The sequence below is a fragment of the Homo sapiens genome, chromosome 2, assembly GCF_000001405.40.
Source record: "Homo sapiens chromosome 2, GRCh38.p14 Primary Assembly".
NCBI classification, from domain to species: Eukaryota; Metazoa; Chordata; class Mammalia; order Primates; family Hominidae; genus Homo; species Homo sapiens.
The window spans coordinates 94,749,992-94,769,593 of NC_000002.12; the positions used below are offsets into that span (position 1 = coordinate 94,749,992).

The 19,602-nt window shown below is 48.2% G+C and overlaps 1 long non-coding RNA gene and 3 pseudogenes across 2 annotated transcripts in view; 1 reads left to right on the forward strand and 3 right to left on the reverse strand.

Annotated features, from left to right (window-relative positions):
• Positions 588–1,304, forward strand: LOC100419684 (zinc finger protein 114 pseudogene; annotated as a pseudogene).
• Positions 5,335–11,193, reverse strand: FAM95A (family with sequence similarity 95 member A). Its single transcript, NR_038409.1, has 3 exons — positions 9,290–11,193; positions 5,966–6,155; positions 5,335–5,638 (listed from the first exon to the last, which is right to left on the reverse strand). It is a non-coding gene; the product is annotated as a family with sequence similarity 95 member A (long non-coding RNA).
• Positions 9,268–10,288, reverse strand: CYP4F32P (cytochrome P450 family 4 subfamily F member 32, pseudogene; annotated as a pseudogene).
• ANKRD20A8P (ankyrin repeat domain 20 family member A8, pseudogene) overlaps positions 10,937–19,602 on the reverse strand; it is a 96,148-nt pseudogene continuing 87,482 nt past the window's right edge. The window contains exons 23-24 of the transcript NR_003366.2: positions 11,139–11,174; positions 10,937–11,041 (exon numbers count right to left, since the gene is read on the reverse strand). The product of NR_003366.2 is annotated as an ankyrin repeat domain 20 family member A8, pseudogene (transcript). The remainder of the gene's footprint in view (positions 11,042–11,138; positions 11,175–19,602) is intronic.

Sequence of the window (19,602 nt, forward strand, 5' to 3'; positions counted from 1 at the left end):
TTGTTTTACTACTAGAAACAGTAATTTTCACTTGGTCATTATTTTATAATTATCTCTATTTAAATTAGTATAGCTCACTCCTGGGTACCTACCTAGAGGAAAAGAAGTCATATGAAAAAGACACATGTACACACATTCATAGCAGCACAATTCACAGTTGCAAAAATGTGGAACCAGGTTAAATGTCTATCAACCAATGAGTGGACAAAGAAAATGTGTTATAGATACACCATGGAATACTACTCAGCCCTAAAAAGGAATCAAATAATGGCACTTGCAGCAACCTGGATGGAGTTACAGATGATTATTCTAAGTGAAGTAACTCAGGAATAAAAAACAAATATTGTATGTTCTCACTTATAAGTGGGAGCTAAGCTATGAGGGTGTAAAGGCTTAAGAATGATTTAATGGACTTTGGGGACTCCGAGGGAAGATTGGGGGGTGAGGGATAAAACACTACGCATTGGGTACAATGTACACTACTCGAGTAATGCATACACCAAAATCTCAGAAATCACCACTAAGTAACTTTTCCATGTAACCAAAAACCACCTGTTTCCCAAAAACTATTGCAATAAAGTAATATATATGAAAACAATCAACATGATAGTCTTGAGGTGCAACATTCACTGGGTTTCATATGGGAGAAAAATAGCTAAAATCAAACACATGGACAGGCAGTCAGAACAATGTCCATCATATACATAGTAAAATTAATACAAGAACAAACATTCATGAGTGGAGTCCATTTGGAATAGCCCGCAGTGGAGACATATGCCTTAGGGCACACATAACTCAGGGAGAAAATGTATAATTTTACTCAATGTGAAAACATCTTCAGAAATAACTCAGTCCGTGCTGTCCAGATGCAGTCCTGTACTGTAGAGATGAAGAATAAGAATCATCAAAGTGGAAAAACCTCTGTCCCTGCTCCAAATTCTGGTTCACACAGGAGTAGTACTACGGGAGAGAAAAGCTGTACATGTCCCAAATGAAGGAAAGCCTTTAGGTATCAGTCATTTCTTATGCGACATTATGAAAATTCACACTGGGGAGAAACCTTATGAATGTAACAAAAGTCAGAAAGGCTTTAGATCTTCCCTACACCTTAATAAACATTTAAGAAAGAACACTTTGGAGAAGCCCTATGGATGTAAGGAATGTGGGAAAGCCTTCAGCAAGCCTCAAAACATGCACATATAAGGAGTCATGCTGGAAAAAACCCTATAAATGTGGAAAAGACTTGCAAAGTCATCAGAATTAAAAGCCATCTTAAGATTTACAATAGTGAGAAGCCCTGTGAGTGAAAGGCAGGGAAATCATCATTAATTTTTCACCAAACTGAACATGTGAGGGGTACATACTGGAAGGGAGCTCAATGAGTTAACATGCATGAGAACATCTTTCCTGAACTCTCCTATCTTACAGAAGTGTGAAAAGAAACCCTCTGAAGGTAAAGTCTATGGAAAGCCTTTCATCTTCCTTCATCTTGAGTAGGTATTTGTTCTCACTAGAGAGAAGCTATGAAAGTAAGGAATATGAAAAAAAGCCTCAGTGTTGCCTCAGACTCATAGTTCATACAAGAATTCACACAGCAGAGACTGCTTATGGAAGTAAAAAATGCAGAAAATACCTCTTTAAACACTATCCCTCCTTTATACATGATTCCACACCCTGGAGGGAGACTACAATTGAATAAATATAAGAAAGCTTTCAGTTCCAGCTCTTCACTTATTGGGCATGAACGAGCACAGGGTAGGACTGAAGCACAGTAAATGTTAACAATTGTTGCCTTTATCATTGTCTTATCCCTCAATTAGAACTCAAATTCATAATTTTGTAGTTTTTCCTTTCTTAAAAAATGGTATAAGATGACAGATATCTGTCTTAGCACCCTTTCCCCTCTGCCACCTTAATGTTGCTATGTGATAGCTTTGTTACAAGTCACTTACATACACATGGTTTCATTTTCAATGTGAAGCCCTTCTGAGCTCCATTCAATTTAGATTTAGAATTCGTATGCTCCATGATACCTTTTTTGTCAGTTTGTTTTTGTTGGTCACAATTTGACTGCATTATGGTCACATTATGTGGTTTTAATGGTACTGATTTGGGGTACCTGTTATGACTTTCATTTTGGTCTAATGTGGCCAATGCTGTCCATTTCCCTGCTATATCCGTTATTCTCATCTTCTTCACTAAGGGAACATAGATTCACTTTTTCCAAGGAGCACTGTTTAAATGTATTTATGTGTTTATCCACATTTTATTATTTAATTTATAATTTTTTGAAAAATGGTCTCACTCTGTCTCCCAGGCTGGAGTGCAGTGGCATAATCAAAGCTCATGCAGCCTTGAACTCCTCATGTGATCTCCCAGCTCAGACTCCTGAGTAGGTAGGACTGCAGGCATAACAGGTGTGCACCACCGCACCCAGCTTTTGTTTTGTTTTGTTTTTGTAGAGACTGGGTCTCGTTATGTTACCTGGACTGGTTTCAAATTCCTGTGCTCAAGTGATTCTCCCACCTTGGCCTCCCAAATTGCTGGAATTACAGGCATGAGCCACCATGCCTGGCCCTGGCTTATGTCTTTAAATGAGTTTCCCAGTTTTTCTCATAACTGTAGTGAGCAGAGCTTATAGTCCTGGCCAATGTGAAATGCAGAATTCACTGCTTTGGATTTCTGAAAATCTGTTTGGAAAGGGGAGAGTTATTGTTCTTCTTTTCTCTTAACCAAGTTCCCTTTGCTCTCTCTGCTTGCTGCTCTCTTCAAATAAGATGAAGTGCCCTGAGTTGGGTTTAGCAACTTGAAGACAATTGGAACGATTGTCCCTACAACAAAACCTTCAATCTACAAGATTTCTCCCTCCCCAATGGCATGTAGGGTATCCCTGGCTGCCCTGGACTATTTCTGGACTTATTTCATGAAACTAACCCCTAGTAGAACTAAGAAACATTTTAGGAGAGATGTTTATAACAGATTAAATGATAAACCTAAAAAATGAATAAAACATATTATAAAGAGAATAGACAAAATGGGCTTGCAGATGCTGACTGGCCACACTCATCTTTGGCACTCGCCCCCATGGATGCCTCACCGACTGTGACACTTGGAGAGCTGGCAGCCATCACTCAAAAAATCAGAACACAGTGGCCTCTACTGCAGCATCAGGGAATAAAAAATAAGCTTGTCAGCTCTGAAGAAACATACTTGTGTGTGTGTGTATATATATATGTGTGTGTGTGTGTTTGTGTGTGACAAATTTATTCAGTGACTTTGAGGTATCTCATGCTAAACAGATAAAATGAATTAAAACTAGTGCAAAGTTACGGCAACAGTACTCCCCATTATGTATCCAGGGCATTGAAAATTGGCACACATCACAGATCCTTAAGTAATTCTCTGAACCAGGAGAACAGAGAGAGCTCACTGTATGTGCCAGTCACTGGACTGAGTGCTGTGCCTACAGGATCCCACTTGATGCTTGCAATAACCCTGCAAGATGAAAGTAAAAACTCACACACACACATATAAAAACTCACACACAAACACACACACTCACACACATATACTCACACACATAAACTCACACGCACACATATAAACTCACACAAACACACTCACACAAACACACACATAAACACACACTCACACACAAACACACACACATATAAACTCAAACACACATATAAACACACATACACACACACAAACACACACACATAAACTCACAAACACATATAAACACACACAAACACATACACACACATAAACTCACACACATACACAAACTCACACATAAACACACACACATACACAAACACACACACACACATAAACACACACATAAACACACACACACTCACACACATAAACACACACACACATAAACTCACACACACACACTCAAGCACACACTAGAAACTACAGAACAAAAAAGCACTGATAACTAATAGAAGTACAGTGCTGGCCAAGCAAAGTGGCTCATGCCTATAATCTCGGCACTTTAGGCCAGGAGTTCAAGACAAGCCTGGGCAACATAGCAAGACACCATCTCCACAAAACATTTTCTTAAATAAAAATCATTTTCAAAAACAGGTATAATGCCTAAGGACTCAGGGAAGCAATACGCCTGTGGCTGTATGGTAAGCAGCAGGCAAGGCTATTTGTGAGACCAAAGTGGTAGTGACTCCAGGGTTCCTTTGCACACTTAGCCAGGAGACTGGCTAGCTCAGCACTGCCTGGGTTCACTTTACCCTTCTACAGCTCTAAAGCTCTGGCAGGTGGGACCTAAGCATCAGAGAAAGTGCTATTATGCAGGACTCTCTTGACCGCAAGTGACTGACACCTAACTTGATCCAGCAGAACATTGAACTATTTGGCTCTACTTACTTAAAATGTCCATGAGTAGATGGGCTTCTGGCTCAACGGGATCAGGGGTCAACTAATATCAACCAAGGCTCATTCTGTCCCTTCATTTCCTGTGTCAGCTCTGCTTTTCTAGTGGCTGTTTTGAGACAGCAGCAAAAATGGCCCCATAAAGTTCACATCACTTACTTCCTTGCAAATAGCTATGCCAATAAAAAGAAAGCACCTCATTCCCAGCAGTTTCATCAAAAGTTCAGGGATGACTTCCATGAGCCCAGCTTGGATCACATGCCCACTCCTGAATGAATTACCCTGCTGATTGCCCAGGGTGGGTCAGCCTTCCCAAATGACATGGACTAGACATGGAGAAGTGGTCCTCCCGTGGGAAAAAAAAAAAAAAAAAAAAGGAAGGCTAGTGGCAGAGGAATATGAGTGGGAGGGCCTCATCTCTATATAAAAGTATGAGTGTATTTGTGTTCTTTTGTACATTCATTTGTAGTCACTGGGAAGAAAATGAGAAAAACCCACACGACTTTCTACATGCCTCTGTGCTTTGTTTTGAACACTGAGCTGTGAGAAATTTAGTTATTAAAACAAAACTTTGAAACAATATAACAATTTGGGACAATGGGGACACTTAGCTGATGCAGCACAGGTGAGCAGTTCTTCTTTCGTGCCCATGAGGACACAATTCCCAGGAGGCTACCTGGGGTCTCCTAGGACAAGCATGTGGGCACCCACTGGCTGCAGTTCCACCTTTCCTTCCCTGGACTCTCAGGAAGACACGAGTTCTGGATTCAGCTGAACTGAGCTCAAGTTCAGGCTCTGTGACTCACTGGCTCTGTAATTCTGGGTAAGTCTCTTGCTCTCCTTGAGTCTCATATAATCCTTGGTAAAATGGAGAGGTAGAGTTATTGTTAGGTTTTGAAGGCAAGGCTAGGGTTAAAGAAAGACAGAGAGACATGGTTGGTGGCTTCAACAGCAACACCTTTATTACTAGCAAAACCCTGCAGAGGAGGAAATCAGCTTAGTGCCATCACCAACTGCCGCTCACAGGCTGGGGCGATCATGGGACTGGGAAGGAGGGGTCTGGGCGGTAGAGCTTGCTGCCCGGCAGGATATGGCAAGGATGTTCCTGCAGTCAGGCTGTTGGGCCTTCGCCCGGGAGGATGCGATAAGGATGTTTCCGCAGTCAGGTGGTCAGGAAGGATGCTTCTCATGGCCCGAGTTCCCAAGGAATGTTTCATTCTGACCAGGGTTTGCAAAATGGCTGCAGGATTACAAAATGGTACAGGTTAGACTAACAGCAACATCTCCCAGGTAGACAGTTCTATAAAGTAAACTTCCCTTGAGCATCTACACTGTACCAGACATGGTGCTAGGACCCAGGCCACAGGAGGAACAGAACAGATGAGGTCCCTGTCATCCTAGTGCTCATGTTTGATGAAGGAAGCTAACAGGTCATAAGACCAGCTCAGATGGTGGTGGTAATGAAAGACATTACCAGAGTGAGATGAGCTAGAAAGAAACCAAAGGAGCTGTTCCAAACACAGTGACAGGGAGAGACCCCTCCAAGAGGTGACTTTTGAGCACAAACCTGAGATATGTGGAGGGGGCCATGGAGAAGGACCAGCCCCTGAAGCCATCTCAGGATTAAAGACCCAGCAGCAGGAGGGCAATAGAATGGCCTGACCTCTGCGTCCTTCATGCTTCCTTCCTCAGTGGTGCCCAAACAAACAGAAACATGGGACAATTCTGTGCAGGTCCATGGAGGGAGCAGGAAGCAGCTGCAATGAAAAGCCAGGGTAGGGATAAAATCAGGCCCAACAGTAAAGCTAGAAGCAGGTGCTGTTTACTAATGACCGCAACACAGGTCATGAAGCATAACCAGTCCCTGAAGGCATGTCCAGGGCCAGACCAGCTGGTTGGGCTGCCAACATCTTAGTAGAGATCCCAGGAGATCAGATGAGCTGGTTAGGGGGAGAAGAAAACAGGAAACCTTCAAAAAATTCCAGAGGATCCATGACACTTAGAATGAACTTCCCCAGAGTGGGATGTGTTTGGCATTGCTGGTTCTAAAGAGTTCGTCCCACCATCCCCACCTGCCCGTTGTCCCACCAGGGGAAAACTCAGGGTGGGGTACACAGAAACAATCCCTGTGGAAGGGAAAAGGTTGTTTCCCATCCTAAACCAAGGGAGGACACCCACAAAACACCACTCATAAGGAGCAGAGGGACCTGCAGGGAGAGACAGGATTCTGCTGCTCATTTGGGTATCTGCTTCCCAGTGGGGAAGGGGACCGTACAGGATAGAGGGGCTAAGTGGACCCTGGGCTGTGGGGCTAGGGGAGCTGCTGCTGACTCACTGTTGGAGGTGAGCCACAATAGGAGGCTTAGAACCCCACTCTGCAGCCTCTCCAATCTAATAAGGAGATGGTAGTGTGGTCGGTGGGGGCATCCACACGCAGTCAAAGGGCACAGGGAGTGATGTGTCCCCTGGCCTCCTCTTTCAGCTGTAGATTCTCCCTCTGAGTTATTGGAACAGCTTCTCTATGGCCCCATCAGCCTGGAGTGTGGTGACAGCTCCCAGATGACGCTAACACCAGGGACCTGCGCCATCCCTCATGGTTCCCCTTGGCCCAGCCCACACCTTTGTAAACAGCTTTTTCTTAATGATCTTTCAGCCACTTCGAGGTCCCTGCCAGCACCTGACTGCCACATTCCCCAAAGGGACCAGACTCCTCGGCACAGTAGCTGAGGTTTCTATAGGCACAGAGAAAACACTGTCCCAACTGTTGGAATGGAGTTGGGAGTGGAAAAAAGAATGTTTTTTCTCAGTGCTTAGACTTACCAATTGCTTCGTTTTATCACATGAAGGCTGTGTGGCACTTTGAAGTAGAATTAGTAATTTACATAATTACAAATTATGTGTTTTTTTTGAGATGGAGTCTCACTCTCTCGCCCAGGCTGGAGTGCAGTCACGCCATCTCGGCTCACTACAAGCTCTGCCTCCCGGGTTCACGCCATTCTCCTGCCTCAGCTTCCCAAGTAACTGGGACTATAGGCGCCAACCATCATGCCCAGCTAATTTTTTGTATTTTTACTAGAGACGGGATTTCACCAAGTTAGCCAGGATGGTCTCAATCTCCTGACCTCATGATCCGCCCGCCTCGGCCTCCCAAAGTGCTGGGATTACAGGCATGAGCCACGGCGCCTGGCTACAAATTATGTTCTTAAAAGAAGCTGTTCAGTGCCATGCCTGACACAAGGTGGAACTCCACGATGAGATATGTGTGAAGCCAGGGTGCCATGGTTACAAACAAGGACTCCAGGTGCAGACTGCTTGGTTCAAACCTGGACCAGCAGTATGAATTTTTGCAACTCTCTGTATTGCTCTTTGCCTCGGTTTTTTCATCTAACAACTAGAAGTAAAAACAAGGTTATTGTGAAAATTAAATGAATTAAAGTAAGCGGAATGCCTACAACAACACCCCCAGGCACACGGTCAGCACTGAGCATGTTTTTCATTACTACTCTTAATGAGGTAAGAATGAGAACACAGGCACCAGCCATGAGCCTGGGGTTTCTCTGGCAAAGGCCTCAGAGACCCTACTTTTAACATCCTCCATTCATTCATTTGACCCTGATAAGGGAGGAGTCTCATAGGAGAGGAGCAAGCCTCCACCTTGGGGCCAGACATCCCATGGTCAAAGTTGAACTCTACCACTGTTCAGCTGGGTGACTTTGGGCAAGTGACTTTCCCTCTCTGATTCTCATGTTCCTTTTTGATAAAAACAGCACAATGTCAGGCCTATGGGGATTGAAGGAGCCGAAAGAAAAATGTGTGTCTTAGTCTGAATTTCCTAGAAGTAGATCCTAAGGCAAAGATTCAAATATAAAAATTTTATTTGGAGATAACTCTAGGATATTAATTTGACTGCCAGTTCTTCCTTAGGGTGCTAATCCCAGGAAACACCAGTAGAGGAGTGGGGAACAGAGATAGGAAAGGAATGCAGCAGTTAAAGGGACTTTCATCAAGAAAGTTTCCACTGTGGCAGCCAGGACTCAGCCCTGCCAGGTACCTCTGAGAGACAGCATAGAACATGTGCCTCAGAGTCATCATACCCAGAACAAGGGAACTGGGTTATTTATCCACCAATACCCACCAGGCACTCCTTGGGGATCCTTCCAAGGTCATGATTGCTCCAGAATGTCCTGCCTGCACTGCAAGGGTCAGACCTGGGGTTGACGGCAAGGCCCCTGACAGCACCTCCAGCAATGAGCAAAAACACAGCCTGGTGTGCACAGTTTCAGTCATGCAGTGACTCCAACACACAAACACACACACATTCCCACACCGCACTCCAACACCAACAAAGTATATATGTACATACACATAAATGCATACATGACTGTTACCCACATAGATCTTAGTGACTCCATGGGATAGACGATAAGCTGGGAATCAGAGGAAAGAGCAAAATTAAGGGGAGTGAAAGTCTTAAGAACAAAATGCAAATTTAGGCTGAAAATGAAGGCGGAAGAGGAGTGGTCTGGACACCAAATGCCTGCTGCGTGGCACCTGCTCTACACACACTGTCACTAATTCTCCAAGCAGCCTCGTGGTGTAAAAGAAATTCCTCTCAATTTACAAATGACAGAAACATAGCTCAGAAAAGAAAACTGATTTTACTAATGTCTCAGCAAGTTAGTGGGTGATATGGACTCCCAGATCTTTCTGTCCACAAAGCCTACAAATTCTCCCTTGTTAGGCAGGCTGGGTACCAGGCCCTGCTTCTGGGCTCTGCTCCTTTTCCTGCTAGGCAATCATGGCAGAATTGACAGAGACGTCATCCCCCTTCACCAGCTGGAGCAGAGCCTATGAGAGGGGCTGGGGAACAGCCACGAGGCCTGGCACCCACCATTCAATGTCTTCAGAATTGCGGTCCCTCAGAACTCTTGCACCACGTGGTGGCAGCACTCCCAGTGTCTAGGTGTCTTCTGAGGTTGTACAGGATCCAGTAGAGGCCACTGGCTGTGCTGTCATATCCTGAGTGGCAGGCTTGGGTCTCTCGGCTGCTTCAGCACCAGAGGTTGGACAGCGCCCTTGCACTGAGGCCCTCAGAATGGGAGGGAAAGGAAGGGCAGAATGGAGTGATGTAGGGTCCATCCACCATGTCCCTGGATGGAGAGACCCCTATTCCCACAGTAGTCCACACCAGGACAACGATTGGCACTCACGAAGATGCCAGCCTTCATTTATATGTTCTTGTCTGACAACTCCTTCTCATTTTCATCCTGGAGGCAAGACCCCTGAACACACTAGCTCTGAGGACACCTGAGTGTAACCTGAGACATTCCCTGAAGACCTTTCATCAAAGCAGGATCCCTCCCTTGTCATCTCCAGACCTGCCCCACAAGCTCCCTCCCTGGTCTCCTGGCTCTTGTTCACTCCTTCCAGGCAGCCTTCCACAGTCATCTCTAAAACATATACGACTGTCCCTCCTTTATCCAACAACTTCTATGGCTCCCCAGAGCTCTCCAGATCAAGTTCAAGTTATTTGATCAGACACTTGATCTCAAGCTGCATTCTACCTCCTGAACTAAAATCCCGGAGAAGCCCACCTTGCTCAGCAAAAATGCATCACTGAAGTCCAAAATCTTGAATGTGGCCTTAGCCTTGAGGAAGTCATCAACACCCCGGCAAGTGAGGGTGAGGTGCTGCTCCAGGATGATGGTGTCTAAAGTTGTGCACCAGGTCATAGGCCCTGCAGAAGCATCTCCCCTCAGGAGTGAGGTAGTACAGGAAGTCCGTGCACAGGCAGATCTGCTGGTGCCATTACACTAAGAGGGCACTGAGCTCCAAGATGGTGGCAATATATTCACTGGGATTCCTGCAGGGTGAGCCTGGAGAGAGGAAGCAGCTCCATAATACATATGAAACCCTGGAAGCGCTTCCCAGCCAGAAACTCAGGACCACACTACATCCAGATACGGGTGCCCTCTGAGCACACTTGTCTCTCTGTCTCCCACTCTGAGCTGCCTCCTGGCCCCATATGCCCCAGCCTGGCCCAGGGCTTGGAGCCCAGCGGGTGTTCAGTCCATGGTGTTGGCTGCTCCCTGGGCCAGGAGACCCCTTGGTGGCTCTGTGACTCCTCCTGTGGAACCCCTCCCTCTGCCTTGAGACCTCCCAATTCCCATGGAAGCCCCCACAGCTCTGGATTGCCCCACCTGCCCTGGGATCCTCCAGCCCCAGAGGCCTTACTTGATGCCTTAGCCCTCCCAGAACATGACATGTTTCTCAGAATGTGGCTGATGTCCAGGGCCATCTGTAGATGTTTGCTGCGGACCTCTTGCTGTTTTCCTTTATGGTCTGTAGGGCAGGGCCAAGAGGAGAAACCAGCCCAATCTCAGAATGGACAAAAGGCTCACTGCCCCAACAGCAACCACCAAACAGTCAGCAGTGCTTCTGGATGAAAAACAGGTTTCATTCTGCAGAAAGCTCCTTGTTTGGCTTATTTTTGAAGCCAGGGAGGGGTACCAAGCTCAGCTTACCCGCGGTGCCTACATTAGCATCTGTGCCTAGGATGCGTGATGGGCTCCCACTGCAGGGTTGACATTCCCTCCAGCTGGAGACCTGGGCTCCTGATACCACCTGGCCTGTTTGTCCTGCTCTGGATGAGGGTGGAAAGGCTGTACCTGGTATTTCCCTAGGTCCTTGGTTTTCACCTTCCAGACATCCAGCAGGAGTGACCATGCCCAGCCCCACACCTGAAATGGGACTCCCTTGTACAGCAGCTGAAACATCTACAGATGGAAGAATGCTCTGGTGAGACAGGCCACAGGGGTCCCTGGGGAGGATCGGGGGCCGGAGGATTCTGGAGGTTTCCAGCCTTGGGCACTGTGGTTCCTCAAAGAGGTTAGGTTTACCTAGGACTAGGCCTCCCCTCCCATGATTCAAAGAGTGGATGAGTGCCCAGCATCAGGAACTCTGTTCTGGACCTATTTTTTCATTTAGGTCACCAAGAGACAACCCGTACCTCCCAAGCTAGGGACGGTCCAAGCTCTGGCATGAAATTCTCTTCCAGCAATGTGATGCTTGCAGGGACAGGGAGAAAAGCCGGTGGCCAGGCCTGCTGTCCCCCAGGTAAGGACAGTGTGCTACCCACCCTCTGAGAGGCAGGTGGTGCCAGGTCACTGCACTGGGTGCCTGTACCCCTGGCTCTGCAGACACCGGTCATGGAGGTCCTCCCCTCTCCACATTACCTTCTTGCTGCTCCTCGATTTCTTCTAGTCATTAAGCACTTTGAGCCATTTTTCTGTGCAGCTGATATGATATTTTTGTTATCAGATGAAACATGACAAAATAAGTCGAGCCACCAGGATTTCTGGAGGGAACCTTGGATGCTGCATCTTGGGCTCTAGGGCCCTGAATGGGACTGAACCAGAAGCAGCCAGGGAAGGAAAAACACTGGGGCTCAGGCCCTATGACCCAATGGCCATTGGTGGCCTGTCCTCATGGCCCCAAGACACCCTGTCCTCAGGCCACAGACACCATGGGCATTGGTCAGGTCCCAGCTTCCCAGTAGTGCCCTGGCACTAGCGGGTGCTGACCCCCAAACCACAATCACAGTTGTGGGTTATGGGTTTGGTAAAACCACCTCAGGGAGACTTCTGGGGTTGGGTTTGGCAGGTGCCTCCCAGGGATGGTGTGTCACTCCTACTTGCCACGAAATGTGCACACAGGCTTTCCCACTTCCCAGCCCATCCTGCTGGACAGGATGGAGGAAGTCAGGGAACAGGCAGGGTGGACATCTGGGGTGCAGGGAGAGGCAGGTGCATGCTGGGAGGACAGACCCTGTGAGGGCTGTGGGGGCATCAGGTGGAGTGGGCTCCAGGTGCACCCTCAATGCACTGGGAAGGTCTCAGGCCAGGTTCCCTGGACCCCGGCTGGGTGATGTGGTCACTCCCTGGGGACTGCTGTCAGGCCCCAGCCACCCACCCTGGGCAACACCTTCCTATCTCAGGACTGGACTTTCTGAGTCCTGAGACAGGACAGTGCTGTCCAGGCCTGACAGATTGGGAGGACCTGTTAAGTCCTCCATCCCTAGACCAGCCTCGCACACAGCAGGGACAGTCTCTTACATTTACCTTCAGAGCACTGACTGATCCATCTCACTCTAAGGCAATCAAGGCAGAGCTGAGGACCTGTGCCAGGCTGGGAACCAGTCCCCTCCCTAAATGGGCCTAAGGAAAGCACCATCCCTGTCCCAGTGCGCCGCAAGTTTCAGCCCAGGAGACACATAGGGAAGGGAGGACTGGGCCTCCCTGCTGGCTGACACTGGAAATGTGGGACCTGGGAAAAAATGGAGCACAGGGCTGGCAGGTGATGCTCCAGGACCATGGAGAGCTCAGGCTCCACCAAGGGGCTGCCCCTCCTGGGCTGGAGGCTGTGCCCTCTGCAGGATCTGAGGAAGTCCAGTCCTGAGATGGGACAGTGCTGCCCATGGTGGGTGGCCGGGGCCTGACAGCAGTCCCCCAAAGGAGTGACCACATCACTCGGCCAGGGTCCAGGGAGCCTGGGCTGAGACCTGCCCAGTGCACTGAAGGTGCACCTGGAGCCCACCCCACCTGACGCCCCCACAGCCCTCACAGGGTCTGATCTCCCAATATGCACCTGCCTATCCCTGCACCCCAGCTGCCCACCCTGCCTGTTCCCTGGCTTCCTCCATCCTGTGCAGCCCATAGACTGTGACCATCTCTCCGACCACTCTGGCCCTTCCTTTATGTTTGTCTTGTGAGAATCTCTGAGCAAGATCTCCCCGGTCCATCCAAACACCTGCTTTGTCCACTTTTGACTGGGCCATTGGACACCACTGGGCCATCCCAGCTGTCCACAGGGACCTTGATAACATGCATTTCCCCTGACATCTCCCATCAGGGCTCAGCAGTCCCCACTGACCAGGTCCCTGCTGACCAGATCCCGCACATCAGGTCCTCCCTGACCACATCCTCAGTGATTAGACCCCCATCACCAGGCCCCACTAACCAGGCCCCCGCTGCCACGCCCACAATGACTAGGACTCCATAAACCAGGACTTTACTGACAAGACCTCACTGACCTGGACCTTACTGACCAGGCCTCACTGACAAGGCCTCACTGACCAGGTCCTTACTGACCATGTCCTTACTGACAAGATCTCACTGACATGGCCTCACTGACAGGGGCCTCACTGACATGGCCTCACTGACCATGTTCTTACTGACAAGGCCTCACTGACAAAGGCCTCACTGACAAGCGCTCACTGACCACGTTCTTACTGACAAGGCCTCACTGGTCATGTTCCACCGATCATGACCCTATTGCCTGGCCCCACAGATGAAGCCCCACTGACCAGGCCTCCAGGGAATAGGCTGCCAGTGAACAGGCCCCTACTAACCAGGACTGAGGTGACCAGATGCCCCTGAACGGGACCCTAATGAGTAGGCCCCCCTGAACAGGCACGCACTGCTCAGATCCCCACAGACCAGGTCACCCCGTAGACCAGTGCTACAAAAGCCACCACTGATCAAGTCCTCTCTGACCAGGCCCCCACTGATTAGGTTCCACTGACCAGGCTGCCCTGACCAGGGCCCCACTGACAAGGGCCTCTGCTGACTAGGTCCCATGTGACCAGGCCTCCACTGAGTAGCACCCCTTAACCTGGTCACCAGTCACCCAGCCCATGCTGACAAGGCCACCACTAAGCCCCAGCTGACCAGGTCACCACTGACCAAGTCCCACAGCCCAGGTTTGCACTGACCAGACACCAAACATTTGTCTGCCACTAGGTCCCCACTCACCAAGACCTGCACTACTAGATCCCCCTAATGAGACCCTCTCTATGCAGACCCCTGCTGACCATGCTCCCAACTAAATAGGCCTCACTGACCAAGTCCCAACTGACTAGGTCCACTGAGCAGGCCCACACTGATCAGGGCCCTCCTAAACACACCAGAAGGCCAAGCGGCAATGAGATGTTTCACATGGCAGGAGTAGGAGCAAAACAGAGAGAAGAAAGAGGTGCCATATCCTGTTACACAACCAGATCTCATGAGAACTCACTATCAGGAGATCAGCGTCAAGAAGATTAACCACTGGTGAAGGATCCTCCACCCACACCACCGCCCACTGTTTCCAGGCAGAAGCCTCCTGCAGAGGCAGAGCCTCTTGAGAAACTTCCACTATGGCAGTGCAGAAGGAAAATATGGGCTTGGAGGCCCCACACAGGAGGCCACCATCCTCCAGACCCCAGATTCATAAGCCCACCAACAGCTCAAACCCTCAGTATGGAAAAGCAACAGGCACTTAACACCAGTCCAGCCCATGAAAGCAGCCATGGGGGCTGAAGCCTGCAAAGCCACAGGTGCACTGTCCTAGTAGTTTTTCCATGAGCCTCTGCCTCTGCAGCAGGTTAGTCCCCCTTCCTACTACCCTCTACCCTCCCACCACCCTACTGACAGCCTACTCCTCCCCACCCTACCCCTCCTTTTCCTTCCACCCCAACCCCCTCCCATCCAACATCAAATCGCCTCCCACCTGGCCCCACCTCCAACATTAAGGATTACAATTCCATGTGAGTTTTATAGGAACACACAGCCAACCCATATTATTCTGACCCCTGATACTCCAGAACCTCATGTCCTTCTCACAGAGCAAAACACAATCATGCCTTTTCAAAAGTTCCAAAAGTCTTAACTCATGCCAAATGTAAAAATTTCAAAGTCTCATCTGAGACAAGGCTATAGTCCCTTCTGTCAATAAGTCCCTGAATTTAAAAGGGATTTCTTTTCTTTCAAGGTACAACAGGCATTGGGTAAAGTTTCTCAATCCAAAGGGAAGAAATTCCCCAGGAAAATAACACAAAGGCAAGTCCAAAACCCAGCAGGACGGTATTCACTCAATCTTTAAGCTCCATAGTCATCAAGAGAACTCACTATCACACAGACAGCATTAAGGAGATAGTGTGTAGCCATTTGTGAAGAATCTGCACCCCACCCTCATCTTTCACCCTCGTCCACAAAATAATCTCCCCCATTCTCCTACCACCAACACCGACTCTTCTCCATGATTAAATCACCTCCCGCCAGGCCCCACTTTTAACATTCCCCATCACTATTCCATGAGAGTATTGGTAGGGACACAGGGCCAAATCATGTTATTCTGACCAGGGTTCCCCCAGATCTCATATTCTTGTCACACTGCAAAATACTGTGATGCCTTCGCTCCCCGAAGTCTTAACTCATTCCAGCATTTACTGAAATGTACAAAACCCAAAGTCTCATCTGAGACAAGGCTGCCTTCCCTTCTGCCCCGAGCCTCTGAAATACAAAGCAAGTTAAGCGCTTCCAAGATACAATGGTTGTACAGGCATTGGGTAAGCATTCCCAGCCAAAAGGAAAAATTTTGCCAGAAAGAAGCACAAAACACAGATGGGACTTACAGACCCCATGCAAGTCAAAAACCTGGCAGGCCAGTCATTGAATCCAACAGCTCCAAATCATTTTTTCTGGATCTACATCCCACATCTAAAGCACAGGGGTGGATGGCTGGGCTCCCAAGGCCTTGGGCAGCTCAGCATCTGTGGCCATGCAGGGTCTATCCCCCACAGCTGCCCTCATGGGCTGGGCTGGTGTTGAGCACCTGTGGCTTTTCCACACTGAGGGTGCAAGCAGCTGGTGGGTCTATGAATCTGGGGTCTGGAAAATGGTGCATCCCTGTGTGGGGGCTCCAACCCTATGTTCCTTGTGTACTTCCCTAGTAAAGTTTTCCCATGAGGCTCTGCCTCTTGGAAAAGCTCCTGCCTGAACACCCAGGTTTTTCTGTACATACTCTGGAGTCTAGATGGAGGCTCCCAAGCCTCTAGTTTTGTGCTCTGTGCACCTGCTGGCTTAACACTATGTGAAAGCCACCAAGGCTTGAAGCTTGCACCCCTGAAGTACTGACCCAAGCTGTACCTGTGCATCTTTCAGCCATGGCAGGAGCTGGAGCTGGAGCTGGAGCTGCAGGGATGCAGGCAGCAGTGTCCTGAGGATTGACACAGCAGCACAACCATGGGACTAACCCAGGAAACCATTCTTCGGTCCTAGTCCCCATGGCCTATGACAGCAAGCTCTGCTGCAAAGGTCTCTGAAATGCCTTCAAGACCTTTTAAACATTGTCTTAGCTATTAGCACTGGGCTCCATTTTATGCAAATTTCTGAAGCCTTCTTGAATTTTCCCACTGAAAATCAGCTTTTCTTTTTGACCACTTGGCCAGGCTGCAAATTTTCCAAACTTTTAAGCCCTGCATCTCATTTAAATATAAGTTTCAACTTGAGGTCATTTATTCAGTCACACAGAAGACCACAGGCTGTACGATACAGACAAGACACCTCTTGAGCTTTGCTGCCTAGAAGTTCATTTCACCAGATATACCCTAAGTCATCACCCTCAAGTTCAAAGTTTCGGAGGTCTCCAAGGGAGGGGCACCATCCAGCCAAATTCTTCGCTAAGGCAAAACAAAAGTAACCTTGGCTCCTGTTCCCAGTAAGTTGTTCATTTTCATCTGAGACCTTCTAAGCCTGGCCTTCACTGTCCAACCTTCAGTCACCATTTTAATTGTAACTATTTAATAAGTCTCTATAGTCACTCTTTTAATTGTAACTATTTAGCACGTCTCTACAATAGTCTAAACTTTCCCTCATCTTTCTGTCTTCTTCCAAGCCCTCCAAACTGTGCAGCGTCTGGTCGTTACCCACTTCTGAATCTGCATCTACATTTTCAGCTATCATTGTGGCAGCCTGGCAATGTGGAAAAAGAAAAGTTCATTTTCAGGGGAAAAATTCAAGAAGGCTTCAGATATTTGCATATAAAAGAAGGCAAATGCTAATAGTAAAAAAATAAGGAAAAAAACCTTGAGGGCATTTCATAGCTCCACTCTACAGTACAAATTCTCTGTAATATTATTTTTAAAAAAGGTTTAAATGGCTCATGGTCCTGCAGGCTGTAAAGGGAGCATAGTGGCTTCTGCTTCTGGGAGGATTCAGGAAGCCTCCCAATCATACCAGAAGGCCAAGCGACAATGTGATGTTCCATACGGCAGGAGTAGGAGGAAGACAGAGAGAGAAAAGAGGTGCCACACCCTGTTATACAACCAGATCTCATGAGATCTCACTAACAGGAGATCAGCTTCAAGAAGATTAACTAATGGTGAAGGATCCACCCACACCACATCCACTGTTTTCAGGCAGAAGCCTCTTGCAGAGGCAGAACCTCTTGGAGAACCTCTAGTAGGGGAGTGCAGAAGGAAAATACGGGCTTGGAACCCCAACACTGGAGGCCACCACCCTCCAGACTGCAGATTCATAGACCCACCAACAGCTCACACCCTCAGTATGGAAAAGCTACAGGCACTCAACACCAGCCCAGCCCATGAGAGCAGCCATGGGGGCTACACCCAGCAAAGCCACAGGTGCACTGCCCTAGTAGAGACTTTCCATGAGCCTCTGCCTCTGCAGCAGGCTACTCCCGCCTCCTACTACCCACCACCCTCTCACCACCCTACTAACAACCTACTCCTTGCCCTACCCACCCCTTTCCTTCCACCCCCGGCCCCCCTCCCATCCATGATTAAATCACCTCCAGCCAGGCCCCACCTCCAAAATTAAGGATTACAGTTCACATGAGTTTTGGTAAAGAAACACAGTCAAATCATATTATTCTGACCCTGATCCCCCGCAGTCTCATGCTCTTCTCACAGAGCAAAATATATTCATGCCTTTTCAAAAGTTTCCAAAAGTCTTAACTCATTCCAACATTAACTCAAATGTAAAAAATTCAACATCTCATCTGAGACAAGTCTACAGTACGTTTTGCCTATGAGTCCCTGAATTTAAAAGGATGTTCTTTTCTTTCAAGCTACAGTAATAGTACAGGCATTGGGTAAACTTTTTCAATCCAAAGAAAAGAAATTTCCCAGGAAAAGAATACAAATGGGACCACAGGCCCAATGCAAGTCCAAAACCCAGGAGGCCAGTATCTGTTCAAGCTCAGAGCTCCAAAATCATGAAGAGAACTCACAGTACAGCAGTAAGGAGATAGTGTTTAATCATTTGTGAAGGACCCACCCCCCACCCCCAATTTTCACCCCTAACCCCCACCATAATTCCCCCATTCTCCCTACCCCCCCATCTTCCAACCCCCAGTCTCCACTGTGATTAAATCACCTTCCACCAGGCCCCACCTTTAACATTCTGATTACAATTCCACATGAGTTTTTGTAGGGACACAGAGCTAAATTTTATTATTCTCTCCCTGGCTCCCCAAATCTCATGTCCTTCTCACATTGCAAAATACAATGCCTTCCCTACAGTCCCCTAAAATCTTACATCATTCCAGCATTTACACAAATGTTCAAAGTTTAAAGTCTCATCTGACACAAGGCTACAGTAGCTTAGGCCCATGAGCCTCTGAAATACAAAGCAAGTTAACTACTTCCAAGGTACAGTGCTTGTACAGGCATTGGGTAAGCATTCCCAGCCAAAAGGAAGAATTTTGCCAGAAGAAAACAAAACACAGATAGGACTTACCGGCCCCATGAAACTCCAAACCCAGAAGGCCAGTCATTCAATCCTACAGCTCCAAAATCACCCTTTTTGAAACCTTGTCCCACATCCACGGCACAGGGGTGTGTGAGGGCTGGGCTCCCAAGGCCTTGGGCAGCTTGACACCTATGGCTTTGCAGGGTTTATGCCCCATGGCTGTCCTCATGGGCTGGGCTGGTATTGAGTGCCTGTGACTTTTCCACATTGAGGATACAAGTTGTTGGCGGGGGGTGGGGGGGTCTATGAATCTGGGATCTGCATTATGGTGACCTCCAGTGTGGGGGCTCCAACCCCATATTTTCCTTCCGCACTGCCCTAGTAGAAGTTTCATATAAGGCTGTGCCTTTTTGGGATGCTTTTGCCTGGACACCCAGGCATTTGCATACATCTTCCAAAATCTATAGAGAGGATCCCAAGCCTCTAGTCTCATGCTCCATCCACCAGTGACTTAACACTGTGAGGAAGTTACCAAGGCTTCTAGTCTGTACCATCTGTAGCTTGGGTCACCCAAGCTGTGCCTGTGCATCTTTCAGCCATGGCTGGAGCTGGAGCTGGAGCTGGAGCTGGAGCTGCAGGTATGCAGGCAGCAGTATCCTGAGGCTGCATATAA